The sequence below is a fragment of the Homo sapiens genome, chromosome 17 (assembly GCF_000001405.40).
Source record: "Homo sapiens chromosome 17, GRCh38.p14 Primary Assembly".
Classification (NCBI taxonomy): domain Eukaryota; kingdom Metazoa; phylum Chordata; class Mammalia; order Primates; family Hominidae; genus Homo; species Homo sapiens.
Genome location: NC_000017.11, coordinates 80,400,826 through 80,413,950, shown reverse-complemented (window position 1 = coordinate 80,413,950; position 13,125 = coordinate 80,400,826). Strand labels below are relative to the sequence as shown.

Below are 13,125 nucleotides of genomic sequence, written 5' to 3'. Positions count from 1 at the left end.
CCAGCGATTACAGGCTGGGGTACTCATAGGCCTGGGCAGGAGGGATCTAGGCAGTATGGCTTGCTGTCCGGGAAGATGTTAACGTGTTCCCAGGATGAGGTGGTTCCGGCAGAATGTGGTGTTCCTGGCGCTTTGTCCCAGCAGAATATGTTAAGAGGCAGGCTGTTTCTCATGGCTCGAACCCCCGTGGAATGTTTCACTTTGACCAAGGTCTACAAAATGGAAAGGGGCTTACAAAATGACGCAGTTTGGACTAACAAAGGGGAAAATACAGAGGATGAAATTAGACTCTAGAGGTTGAGGCTCAGGAAAGGCTTCATACAGCTTTGGGAACTGACAAGGCTTTGAAAGCAGGGTCAGTTTTCAGCGAATGAGCGTCACCCACTGCACCCTGCGCACCCTGCTCCCCTGCTGCGGTGTCTTTCCCACCAGAGTGTAGCAGGACAAGCCGCAGACAAAACCCCTCAGACACCGAGTTAAAGAAGGGCTTTATTCAGCTGGGAGCTTCGGCAAGACTCACGTCTCCAACAACCGAGCTCCCCGAGTGAGCAATTCCTGTCCCTTTTAAGGGCTCACAACTCTTCAGGGGTCTGCGTGAGAGGGTCGTGATTGATTGAGCAAGCAGGGGGTACGTGACTGGGGGCTGCATGCACCCGTAATTAGAACGGAACAGAACAGGACAGGGATTTTCACGGTGCTTTTCTATATAACGTCTGTAATCTATAGATAGCATCACTGATTAGGTCAGGCGTCGATCTTTAACTACCAGGCCCAGGGTGTGGTGCAGGCTGTCTGCTTGTGGATTTCATTTCTGCCTTTTAGTTTTTACTTCTCTCTTTGGAGGCAGAAATTGGGCGTAAAACAATATGAGGGGTGGTCTCCCTTATTCTCCCTCTCTGAGAATCTCACTCAGTAGTGGGAGTTGTCACTTTTATTTTTACTACCTATGTTTTCTTGCAAGACAGATCGATAGTGATTCATATAGTACAGTTGTGCTGAAGCATTTTGGTGAACTAAGGTAGCGATGAAGCTTTTTATCATTTGAAGAAGTATGGGTAGCAAACAAGGGAGCAGAACGCAGGTTTCTATTGCTATTGTAACTCCTAATATAAGAGTTTTAAATCTTTTTAGTGCTGGGAACCATTTTCCAAACATGGCCCCAGGACCAAATCCATGCCACACTTGCACGGGCACATGTGCCAGTTTTGTCATATTTCTAACTGTGTCTTCAACTAATTGCCCTCGATCATCTATGTGTAGACAGCAATTAGTAAGGTTAAATTTTTTACAGACCTCTCCTTCAGCTGCTAGCAAGTAGTCGAGAGCCAATCTATTTTGATAGATAGCATTTCTCATCTGAGTTTCTTGCCAGGCCAGAATAGTCAAGGCTCTGCCGGTCTTATTAGTGATTATTTCTAAGACAGCTTGTAACCGTATGATTCGGTTGAGCATGTAAATGGGGGTCGGGTATCCCTAGGAGCCATCTTGTGCCTAAGTACCAGGCCCATAATATTGTATGATTCTTTCAGGGGGCCATGTATTATCTTTTGAATTTTTTATAGCTATGCTTCTCTTTTTGCGGGAAGCACAGACAGGGAAGCCCAGGAGTTCGCCTGTCTTTATGGGCAGTAGGAAGAAAGATGGTTTAATAGTGCCAATAACATGACTACCTGCCCACTGGTCGGGTAATTTGGTGTAAACTCTATGCCTACATATCCAGTATAATCCAGTGGGGGCTGTCCAGTCCCTGTGGGACTCCGGGTGGGTTCACACAGTTTGCAACTTTGGGAATTTACTAAATGGATTTTTCTTAGTGTGGTTTGAACTCCACTAGGTGGCTGTTTTTGTAGTAGTATTATACAGTTTTTGCCTAAGCAGCTGAGTCTTCCCACAGGAAAGGTGAAGTCCTTCCCCACTCTTGCTATATACAGTATTGTCTAATGATTGAGGCTTTTAGGACCCAGAAGTTATCAGGGTGATTCTTTTGAGCCGGGAATTCATCAGGAACTGGGTCTGTAGGTACTAATTCTCGGGCTTCCCGTGGCCATTGATCTCCCATTACAGTTCGTCCACACACATAACATGAAGTGACATTGAGAGACTGGGCCACATGCTCGGCTAATTGCAAAAACAAATGTCTTGTTTTTCCTGGAATTTCTGGTGCAGGCACATTCAGTTGATCATAGAAGGTTTGAAATACTGTCTCAGGAGAGCGTTTATAAATTTCTCCTCAAACCATGATATTTACTCAAGGATCCAGTTCAGCCCCATTGATTCCTAGGGTTACATGCTCCCCTTTTTTCCAGCGAGGATCAAGGGGGTTGGTTATTACTAGTTCTAAGGGGTTACACTGACCACTGGTACAGGAAGGGCCACTTTTTCCTTTTTGAAGGTGGACAGGATCCTTTTTATTTTTTATTTAAGTAGCCTAAATGACACAAGACCAGTATTTACATTTATTTCCACACAGTTTTAATTTATGACAAATGTACTTATTTTTTGTCATATGGCCTCTTTTCTAATTAAGGGAACCACATTCTATTTTTAACTTATTACTATTAATGACAGCACAGGCATCAAACTTTAAAGTGACTTGTTTGGGCACCCCTTTTTCTTTCATTTTGGCTAACACTTTACTCGTATCGTTTATGAGTCCCTACCAGTCCTCAGTCCTTAATCTTATTTCAAAAGCTGTGGTCATGGGAGACTCAGGTCATAACACACATCAGGTTGGTCATTTCTTGGGCTACATACCTTGCATAGAATAGCATTATACAAACTTTTTTTTTTTTTAGAGTCCTGGTACACTTACAATAATCATAAAATAATAGGACTGTGGCAACTTTTTGTCCTACCTCAGTGACTTGATGTATACACTGGGAACAGTCCTCAGTCTGAGGAAGGTCAGTTGAAGTCCTTACTGTACAAGTCCAAATTTTAAGGAAAATGAGTCCCACGATGAGTTTTCTCATGCTTCGGCCGTGTGTGGACCAGTCAGCTTCCAGTTGTGACTGGAGCAGGGCTTGTCGTCTTCCTCAGAGTCACTTTGCAGGGGCTGGCGAAGCTGCTTCCGTCCACGTACCACTCACAGCCTACTGATGTTCAAGGATGGTCTCGGAGGTTGCGCCTGCTAGAATAAACTGAGTCCAACACCTCTACACAGTTATGTTCAACTGGGCTCTCTCATATCAGGAGCAAGGTGGCGGGGTTTAGCGTGTTGCAAACTGCAGTGGTTATGTGGGGATTTTCACGTAGCAAGCTTTGGTACTTGGTTAATCTAGCATTTGTTAACCAGTGATGACCTTTGGTAGTCATTAAAGTTACCACAGCGTGGGGGGCCTTTATATTCAGGTTTTGTCCAAGGGTTAGTTTATCTGCTTCTTGTGCTAACAGGGCCGTTGCTGCCAGGGCCCTTAGACACGGGGGCCAGGCTTTGGAAACCCCGTCTAGTTGTTTTGAGAGATAGGCCACTGGCCTTAGCCAGGGTCCCACAGTCTGGGTTAAAACTCCAACTGCATTTTTTCTCTTTCTGACACATAGGGTGTAAAGGGTTTTGTCAGGTCTGATAGCCCCAGGGCTGGGGCCTACGTTTTTCTTTTAACTCATGAAAAGCTTGTTGCTGTTTGTTGTAATAGATGTAGTTTATCCAATTTACATTTTTATTAACTGTCATCTACCAAAATATTGACTCAAATCCTGCCGCTATTTGATTTCAAGTTTTAAATTGATCTAGTATTCCCCGTGGGACTCCAATTGCGTCTAAATGGAAATGAGAGTCGAAAGACCCATAAGGGGCTTCTCTTGCTTTACGATGTCTTATTTTTCCTCCCTCTGGTTGATGGAATGCCAGGGTGAAAGGGATAGCCAATCGGACTAAAGTACAAGCGCCACTCCAGTTATTCGGCAGAGTGCCCAGTAAAGGTCCACCACAATACCACCACACATCCGCTCACATCCACTCAGGGATGAACAAGGGCTGGCTGATTGATAGGCTCTTGAAAATTTTTAAGCTCACTGCATCCCTTCAGGTTTCCAAGGAATGCTAAGTTTCCTCCCTGTCATGAGAGACACGAAGTGAACTTAGTATTGGGAGACGGCGGCTCGATGGCCCTCGGGGGCTGACCCGCAAGGCGCCAGACTTTCGGATACAGCAGAGAGAGCTTGGCACAACTTATTACTCCAGGCTGTAGAATCCTGGAGAAGAGCTACCATGCAGCCACACCTGGTCGACTGGAGGACCACCTTAGTGGAAAGGGGACAATCAGGACCTCTGGCCTGCCATGTGCACAAGCGTAACAGTTGCTTTTGTTTAACGTGCGGATGGAATATTTGATCCATTTCAACCAGGCATTTGCATCTTGGTATGCTGTCTTAATTGCCAAAGTTTGTTTTAAGTCTTTAACTAATATGAACTTCTAGTAAAATGAATGTATGATTTTGGGAAATTACAAAAACTGGTTGGGGCAGTCCATTCTTGCTCTTTAGTGGTCCACAGAATGTTGGACCAACTACGGCATAAAAGCTCTACATTGGGGAGCAAGACTCCTGGTTGACACTGGAGTCTTTATTGAAATTCCCCCGGATTAAATGGTCCTAATTTACTAATGCCCAGTCTGAGGAGAGTCAGGAGGGACAGAAGTACTTTTCTGAAGTAGAGAGCTGTCTTCGACTTGGCAAGTCCCCACAGGGTATAACAAGACAAGCATTAAATGCAATAGTTTGAGGTGAAATTGATTTGGTTGTGTTAATAACCAGATGGTCAGCAATAGAGCGAGGAAAGAAGAAAGAGTAATAGAATAGATAAAAGAGTTAAATATTTCTTAGCTTTAGTTTGGTAGGGTTTTCCCCTTGGACTGGGGCCCACGACTCCGGAGGGGGTGGAGCTTTGACTCGGGTGTGATGAGTCCATCCCTTTTCCACTGTAGGGACAGCAGTCTCGGTGGTTAGCAGCACAAGGTCGGGTCCTTCCTAGGCTGGCTTGTTTTCTTTCCTCCCTTTGTTTTCTTTCTTTCCTTTGATAAGAAAAACTTTTCCTTTGAAAAATTTGTTTTCTTTCCTCCCTTTGATAAGAAGGTGATCTTCAGGCTGGTGCTGGTTTACTGGAAATTCTAGGGCTGGCACCTGTGCTAAAAGGCTTTTAGTTTTGAGGGAAAGGAAAGTGGAAGACAAACCAAGTATATAATTTCTAAGAAATTGATTTTTTGTTTCAAATGTGGGGACATCAAGAGTGGACTTTATAGGCTTTGGTGCCTTTTTACTGAGAAATTTCCTTTACCACCTATTTTTATTAGTTTTTGGACCAAAGAAAGCCAAACACTGTTTTATATTTAATAATGCTTTCTGTATGATTTTTATACCAGATAAGCTAAATTTCACCTTTATATTAGTGTGCTATTAATGTTAAACTTAGTTTTAATAAAACTTTGTATACATATTTATTCAATTTTTAATGTCAGACCGTAAGGTAAGATTTTTATAGACTCTTTTTAACCTTTTATAATCTTTGTTAAAGAGCAAGTTAGTGCTTTAAGAAAAACCCATTGTGTTTTTACTTTAATGTCCAGTTCACAGAAAAACTGGATGATACCCCTTTAACTTTAGCTAATACGTTTACACACAGAATTTTTTTATAATTAATGTTTTAAAACTTGCTTAAACCTTCAAAACAATTTTTTTAACCTTTTAATCTAGGTAAAAATTTACATTCTTATGCCTTCTTATAATCCTTTTACCAAAGGTATATTTACTTTTCTTATACACCTTGTGTTAGCGCCTCCGTGTGAAAAGCCCACCAAACAGGCTTTGTGTGAGCAACAAGGCTGTTTATTTCACCTGGGTGCAGGCGGGCTGATTCTGAAAAGAGTCAGCAAAGGGTGGTGGATTATCATTAGTTCTTACAGGTTTGGGGTAGGCGGTTGGGTTAGGAGCAATGTTTTGCCGGCAGGGGGTGGATCTCACAAAGTACACTCTCAAGGGTGGGGAGAATTACAAAGAACCTTCTTAAGGGTGGGAGAGATTACAAAGTACATTGATCAGTTAGGATGGGGCAGAAACAAATCACAATGGTGGAATGTCATCAGTTAAGGCTATTTTCACTTCCTTTGTGGATCTTCAGTTGCTTCAGGCCATCTGGATGTATATGCAGGTCACGGGATATGATGGCTTAGCTTGGGCTCAGAGGGCTGACATTCCTGTCTTCTTATATTAATAAGAAAAGCAAAACAAAATAGTGGTGAAGTGTTGGAGCAGTGACAAATTTTGGGGGTGGTATGGAGAGATAATGGGCGATGTTTCTCAAGGCTGCTTCGAGCGGGATCAGGGGCGGTGTGGGAACCTACAGTGGGAGAGATTCAACTGAAGAAAGATTTTGGGGTTGTTAGAAGGAGCATTTGTCATATAGAATTACTGATGATGGCCTGGATGCGGTTTTATATGAATTGAGAAACTAAACGAAAGACACAAGGTCCGAATAAAAGAAGGAGAAAAATAGGTATTAAAGGACTAAGAATTGGGAGTACCCAGGACGTCCAATTAGAGAGTGTCCAAGGGGGTTCAATGTTATTGTTTGCTTGGTTGGCGAGCTTTTGGGCTCTATCCTTGAGTTTTTTTATGTTGTCATATAGCAGGCCAGATTGATTTAGGTAAAAACAACACTCTTCATTTAAAAATATACAGAGTCCTCCTTTTTCAGCAGTGAGTAAATCGCGGCCTTGGCCGTTCTGGAGGACAACTGCAGCTAAAGAGTTAACCTGGGCTTGGAGAACAGATAAAGTTTGTGATCTATCTGTAGTGCTAGCAGAGAAGTCATTAGAGAGGCTGCGGACTGTTGTGACAGAGGTTGAGATGCCTGCTATTCCAGTTCCAAGTGCAATACTGGAGGCAGAAAGTCCTAGACCAATAAGTAAAGGGATTAGTGGGATGACTCTTTTTTGTTGTGTTGATGTCATGAGGGGGACAGGCAGTTGTTCGTTCCCATCTGCAAACTGGATTTTGGAGGTAAGGAAGACTAGAGTACATGTGCCCATCCATTTGGCAGGTAGGCACATGTAGGTGGAAGAGCCACATAAAAAGAAGAGACCTTGTGTCAGGCAGAACTGGAAATGTAAAGTGAAAAGGTGAGAGGGTGTACTGAAAGAGGAATCCTGCATCCAGAATCCTAGCGATCCAGCAAGGGCAGCAGCCGTTAGAGGTTGTAATGGGGATTGATGGTGCAACTGCGTAGAGGGAGGGGTTTGGTTTTCATGGTGTATGAGAAAGCGCATAGTGTCTACAAGTAACCTTTCGCTGCTATTCATGGGGCAGGGTATAAGCAAGCAAGAGGAGGGGCTAGGAGGAGATTCAGACGAGCAGGGGAGGGTGGTAGCCAAGGATGGGGTGAGATGCAGGGTAGGTGTCTTCCTAAACAATAGTGACTGCCAATGTTTTTTAGTTTGTCAATAATGATAGAGGGCTTGTCAGTAATGCGAAGTTGGAATGCTCCCATCTGTTTGGTAATGTGTGTGGCTGGGTTCTGGAGACAAAGAGTAAAGGAACATTTGGACGGTGGAAGGTTGCCTAAAGGGATTCCAGCAGGCTGTTGTCGGGAGATGCATAAAGAAACGGCAACAGGGATAGTTGTTTGTGTGGTTGGGGTCCAAATATGGGAGGAGTGGAATTGACATAAGGAGAAAGATGCCGTAAGTAGATGCGGAGAAGTGTGGCAGCTCGTTGGTGTGAAATGTCTGGGGAGTTCTCACCAAATCTGTCTAGAAAATAAAGAAGTTCCTCAGGCGGGTAAAGATGAGGGTTATTAAAGGAGGTTCTGAGTTGCAGGGAGACGGGAGAGGTAGCCCAGTCAGCCTGTAGAGCAGGGATGGCTGTGTAAAAGCAGGAGGAAAGGGAAACGCGTAGCCAACAATTCTTTGCTAGAAAAGGATTGGAGGCAGTGAGGAGAGAGTGGGTGAGATTGATAGTATGCTGGAGGTAACTGGGGAGAGGTAGAGAGTGGCATAAGAATGGGAATGAGAATAAGAGTGAATATAAAAGTAAAGAATAGAACTTCATCAGGGTGGAAGTGTTGGAGGGTGCCCTGCCACCAAAGATCATCTATCCACTCCAAGCAGGAGTCAAGAGTGGCGGTTTGGGGATATCACCAGGAGATATCAGCTGTGATGTCTTGGAGAAACAATGTAAACTGGCAGTGTAAACAAGAGCAGGTCATTTATGAGTAGTTGAGAATGGTGAATAGGAGTATGACTAGACAGAAGATAGTAGGGATGACAGGTTTTTGGGGCACAGTCCAAGTAGTGGGGGTGACTGCGTAAAGCCCTGTTGCGAAGAGTAGGGTAAGGATGGATAGACCTAATAGAATGAAGGGATGTATTAGGCTCATAAGGGTTATTGTTCTTCAGAAATGCGAGTGAGTTTAAGGGAAGTAGGGGAGAGTACTTGCGACTTCCAGGAGGAAGAGGAGATATCGGACTGGCTGTCTGACGGACACAGCTTTATTCTGGAACGGTGAACCCAGTGGGGAGGGTTCTGCAGGCAGATGGTGGTTGGGGGTACTATAGATGTTTAAGTAGGGTCCGGTCCATCGAGGTTGTAGAGTTTGAGGGGTCAGATTATTAACAAGAACTGACCATCCAGCTAGGGTGTCTTCATGTGGCTGGGAATCTGGAGTAGGCAAGAGAAGATTAGCAGCCTGGCGAATTTCCTGTCTAGCCTGCTGAAAGACTGGAAGATAGTTGCCTAGAGGGCTGGTGTCTGGGATGAGGTTGGGGCTGAGCAAGAAAGTGCGTCCACATAAAAGTTTAAATGGACTGTACCGTGTAGCTTCTTGAGGACAGGCTCTAATTCTGAGAAGGGCAAGAGGTAGAAGTACTGTCCAGTCCTTTTTAAGCTGGAGGCTGAGCTTGGTGAGGTGTGTCTGTAAAAGACCATTAGTCCCTTCTACCTTTCCTGAAGATTGAGATGGTAAGGGATATGAAGGTTCCACTGAATACCAAGAGCCTGAGAAACTGCTTGGGTGATTTGACTAATAAAGGCCGGTCCGTTATCAGACTGTATAGAGGTGGGAAGGCCAAACCGAGGAATTATGTCTGACAGAAGAGAAGAAATGACTGCGGTGGCCTTCCCAGACCCTGTGGGAAAGGCCTCTACGCATCCAGTGAAAGCATCTATCCAGACCAAGAGGTATTTTAGTTTCCTGACTCGGGGCCTGTGAGTAAAGTCAATTTGCCGGTCCTGGGCAGGGGCAAATCCCCGCGCTTGATGTGTAGGGAGGGAGGGGGCCTGAACAATCCTTGAGGAGTAGTAGAATAGCAGATGGAACACTGAGAAGTGATTTCCTTGAGGATAGATTTCCACGATGGAAAGGAAATGAGAGGTTCTAAGAGACAGGCTAGCGGCTTGTAACCTACATGGAAGAGGTTGTGAAATGATGATAGAATAGAATGGGCCTGTGAGGCTGGAAGGAGATATTTTCCTTTGTCTAAGAACCATTTACATTGTGTGGGAAGAGATTGATAGGTGGAAGTTTCAGTGGGAGAGTAGGTAGGAGTGACCGATGAGAAGGAGAAAAACTGGCCGTGAGGGACAGAAGTTGGAAAACTAAGCTGCTTCTTTAGCTAACTTATCAGCATAAGTGTTGCCCTGAATGATGGGATCTGATGCCTTTTGATGGCTCTTGCAGTAAATGACTCCAGATTCCTTTGGAAGTAAAGCGACCTTGAGAAGAATTTTTATTAAAGAGGCATTAATGATGGAGGACCCTTACATAGTGAGGAAACCTCTCTCTGCCCATATAACAGCATGGTGGTGCATGCTGACTCTATGGAAGGCATAGAGTCAGTATAAATATTGACACGTACTCCTTCTGCAAGAGTGAGGGCTTGAGTTAAGGCAATGAGTTTGGCTTGCTGAGAGGTAGTGGAGGGGGGCAGAGTGGTAGCCTCAATGATAGGTGTGGAAGTTACTATAGCATAGCCTGCCTTTGCTGGTGAGTGGCGATTAGGCCTGGTGGAACTGCCATCAATAAACCAAGTGTGATCAGGGTGAGGAACAGGAAAGAAGGAAATATGGGGAAATTGAGTAAATGCTAGGTGGATTAGAGAGATACAGTCATGGGGGGTCAGGTGTGGTATCAGGAATAATGTGGGGGCTAGCCTAAAACAGTAAGGTCAAGTTGTTTGGACAGAAGGGCTGCAGGGGCCGTTCCTGGCTCTTGTGTAAGAATTCTGACTGCACAACCCTGCACTTTGGCTGTATGTAATGAAAAAGTGTTGGGATGAGTTAGGGAGAGCTAGTGTGGGAGCAGCTTCTAGGGCTGTTTTCAGGGAACGGAAAGAGGAGTGGCGAAAGGATTTAGGATCTGTGGGGTCAGCTGGGTTTGCTTTTGTGAGTTTATATGATGGTTTAGTCAGGATGGTAAAGCTAGGTATCCAAAGGCGGAGTATCTAACCATGCCTAGGAAGGAAAGGAGCTGTTGCTTTGTAGAAGGGGTCGGGGTTTGGGAGATTAGCTAGACACGATCAGCAGGGAGAGCACTGTGTTTTCATGAAGAATTAAGTCGAGATAGGTAAAGGATGAGGAAGAAATTTGGGCTTGACTGAAGTAACGGGGGGGGGGGGGGCTGTCCGTGAAGCCTTGTGGCAGTACAGCCCAGGTAATTTGCTGAGCCTGATGGGTGTCCGGGTCAGTCCAAGTGAAAATGAAGAGAGGCTGGGATGAAGGGTGCAAAGGAATAGTAAAGAAAGCATGTTTGAGATCCAGAACAGAATGGGTTATGTAGATTATGTACATATGTAGATATGTACATATCTACATAATAATATATGTAGAGGGGTTCTGGAGGGAGGTATTGAGGATAGAAGAGTATATGGCTTTGGCGCCACAGGGTGGATAGGCAAGACAATTTGGTTGATAAGGTGCAGATTCTGAAATTAACCTGTAAGGCTTGTCCAGTTTTTGGAACAGGTAAAATGGGGGAATTATAAGGAGTGTTTATGGGTTTTAAAAGGCCATGCTATAACAGGCGAGTGATAACAGGCTTTAATCCTTTTAAAGTGTGCTGTGGGATGGGATATTGGCATTGAGTGGGGTAAGAGTGATTAGGTTTTAATGGGATGGTAAGGGGTGCATGATTGGTTGCCAAGGTGGGAGTAGAGGTGTCCTATACTTGTGGATTAAGGTGGGGAGATCCAAGGGGAGGGTGTGAAGGCGGCTTTGAACTGGAGAAAAGGGTGGCAATGAGGTGTGGTTGTAGGCTAGGAATAGTCAGGGAAGCAGATAATTTAGTTAAAATGTCTCAATCTAGTAAGGGATCTGGGCAGGTGGGGATAACTAAAAAGGGGTGCATAAAAGAATGTTGTCCAAGTTGGCACCAGAGTTGGGGAATTTAAGAGGTTTAGAAGCCTGGCCGCCAATACCCACAACAGTTACGGAGGCAAGGGAAACAGGCCCTTGAAAAAAAGGTTAATGTGGAGTGGGTAGCCTCTGTATTGATTAAGAAAGGGACAGACTTATCCTCCACTGTAAGAGTTACCCAAAGTGTCTGTGATGGTCCAGGGGCTCCCGAGGCGATGGGCAGCGTCAGTCTTCAGCCACTAAGCCGAGGAGATCTGGGAAGGAGTTGGCCAAGGAACGTTGGGTTTGGGCTCCAGGTGCTTTAGGAGCAGCGGCGATGTGAGTCGGACAGTCCGACCTCCAGTGGGGGCGCGCACAGACAGGGCACAGCTTAGGAGGAATCCCAGGCTGCGGGCATTCCTTGGCCCAGTGGCCAGGCTTTTGGCATTTGAAGCAAGGCCCACGAGGATGTTTTGAAGGAGCCCCTGGGAGCTGTGGCTTGGATGTTCTGAAGTTCTTGTATGCTGGAGACGTGGTTGTGGGCTGTCTTACAGCAGAGGCGAGTAGCTGTAACTCAGAAATGCGTTGCTGTCTGGCTACCTCCTATTATTGTACACCTTGAAGGTGAGGTTGATTAATTCCTGTTGTGGGGTATGAGGGCTGGATTCCAGTTTTTGAATCTTTTTTCTAACATCAGGAGCTGACTGGGTGATAAAATGCATATTAAGAATAAGGCGGCCTCCTGGCCCCTCTGGGTCTAGGGCGGTAAAGCGTCTAAGGGTTACTGCCAAGTGGGCCATGAACTGGGCTGGGTTTTCATCTTCACCTCGGGTAGTTTCTTGTTTGTCATAATTAACAGCTTTGTAAGCTGCCTTTTTAAGCCCTTCAACTAGGCAGGAAACCATGTAATCTCGCGTAGCTATACCTGGGGAATCTGCCTGGTAGTTCCACTGGGGATCTTCTCGGGGAACTGCTCTGATGCCCTCCTGGAGGTCTGGCTCGTGAAGCCGGTGGTTGTCAGTGTGAGATTGGGCTAGAGAAAAAACTCTTTCCCATTTATCTGGGGAGAGGGTAGAAGTTAGGATGACATTTCAGTCACTCCAGGTTAAACTGTAGGACAGAGTTAGATATCGGAATTCCTGTATGTATTTAGTGGGGTCTGATGAGAAAGAGCCTAAACGCTGGCTGATTTGGGAAAGGTCTGATAGAGAAAAAGGCACATGTACCCTGACATATGCCTTCAGCTCCAGCCACCTCTCTATGAGGAAATTGTTGGGCAGATGGGGGAGAGCTGGTCGCAGAAAGAAACTGTAAACCGGACCGGGTGTGGGAGGGAGGTAATAGAAGGGTTATAGGGTGGGGAGCAGAGGCTGAAGAAGAGCTGGAGCCTGATCAGCCTGGCGGGGAGCGAGCTGAGGAGGAGCAGCCTGGGGAGGAGGTGAGGGGTCAGATGGGTCAGCAGAAAAGGAAGATTCACAAGACTCAGCAACGCTCGAGGTTGGGACTGAAGGGACAGGCGGGAGGGAAAGGAGGAGGATTTGGGATGAGTCACAGTGGGAACAGAGACTAGGGAGGGAACGAAGTCTGAAAAATGCCTGGACGTAAGGCACCTCAGACTATTTGCCCATTTTTCGACAAAAATTATCTAGGTCTTGCAGGATGGAGAAATCAAAAGTGCCATTTTCTGGCCATTTAGAACCATTGTCGAGTTCGTACTGGGGCCAAGCGGTGTTGCAGAAGAAAATAAGATGCTTAGATTTTAGGTCAAGTGAGAGTTGAAGAGGTTTTAAGTTCTTGAGAACA

General features: G+C 45.4%; 1 long non-coding RNA gene across 1 annotated transcript in view; it reads left to right on the top strand.

The window, feature by feature from the left end:
* Positions 1 to 13,125, top strand: part of RNF213-AS1 (RNF213 antisense RNA 1) — a 63,339-nt gene that overhangs the window by 1,218 nt on the left and 48,996 nt on the right. The gene's annotated exons all lie outside the window — the stretch shown is intronic.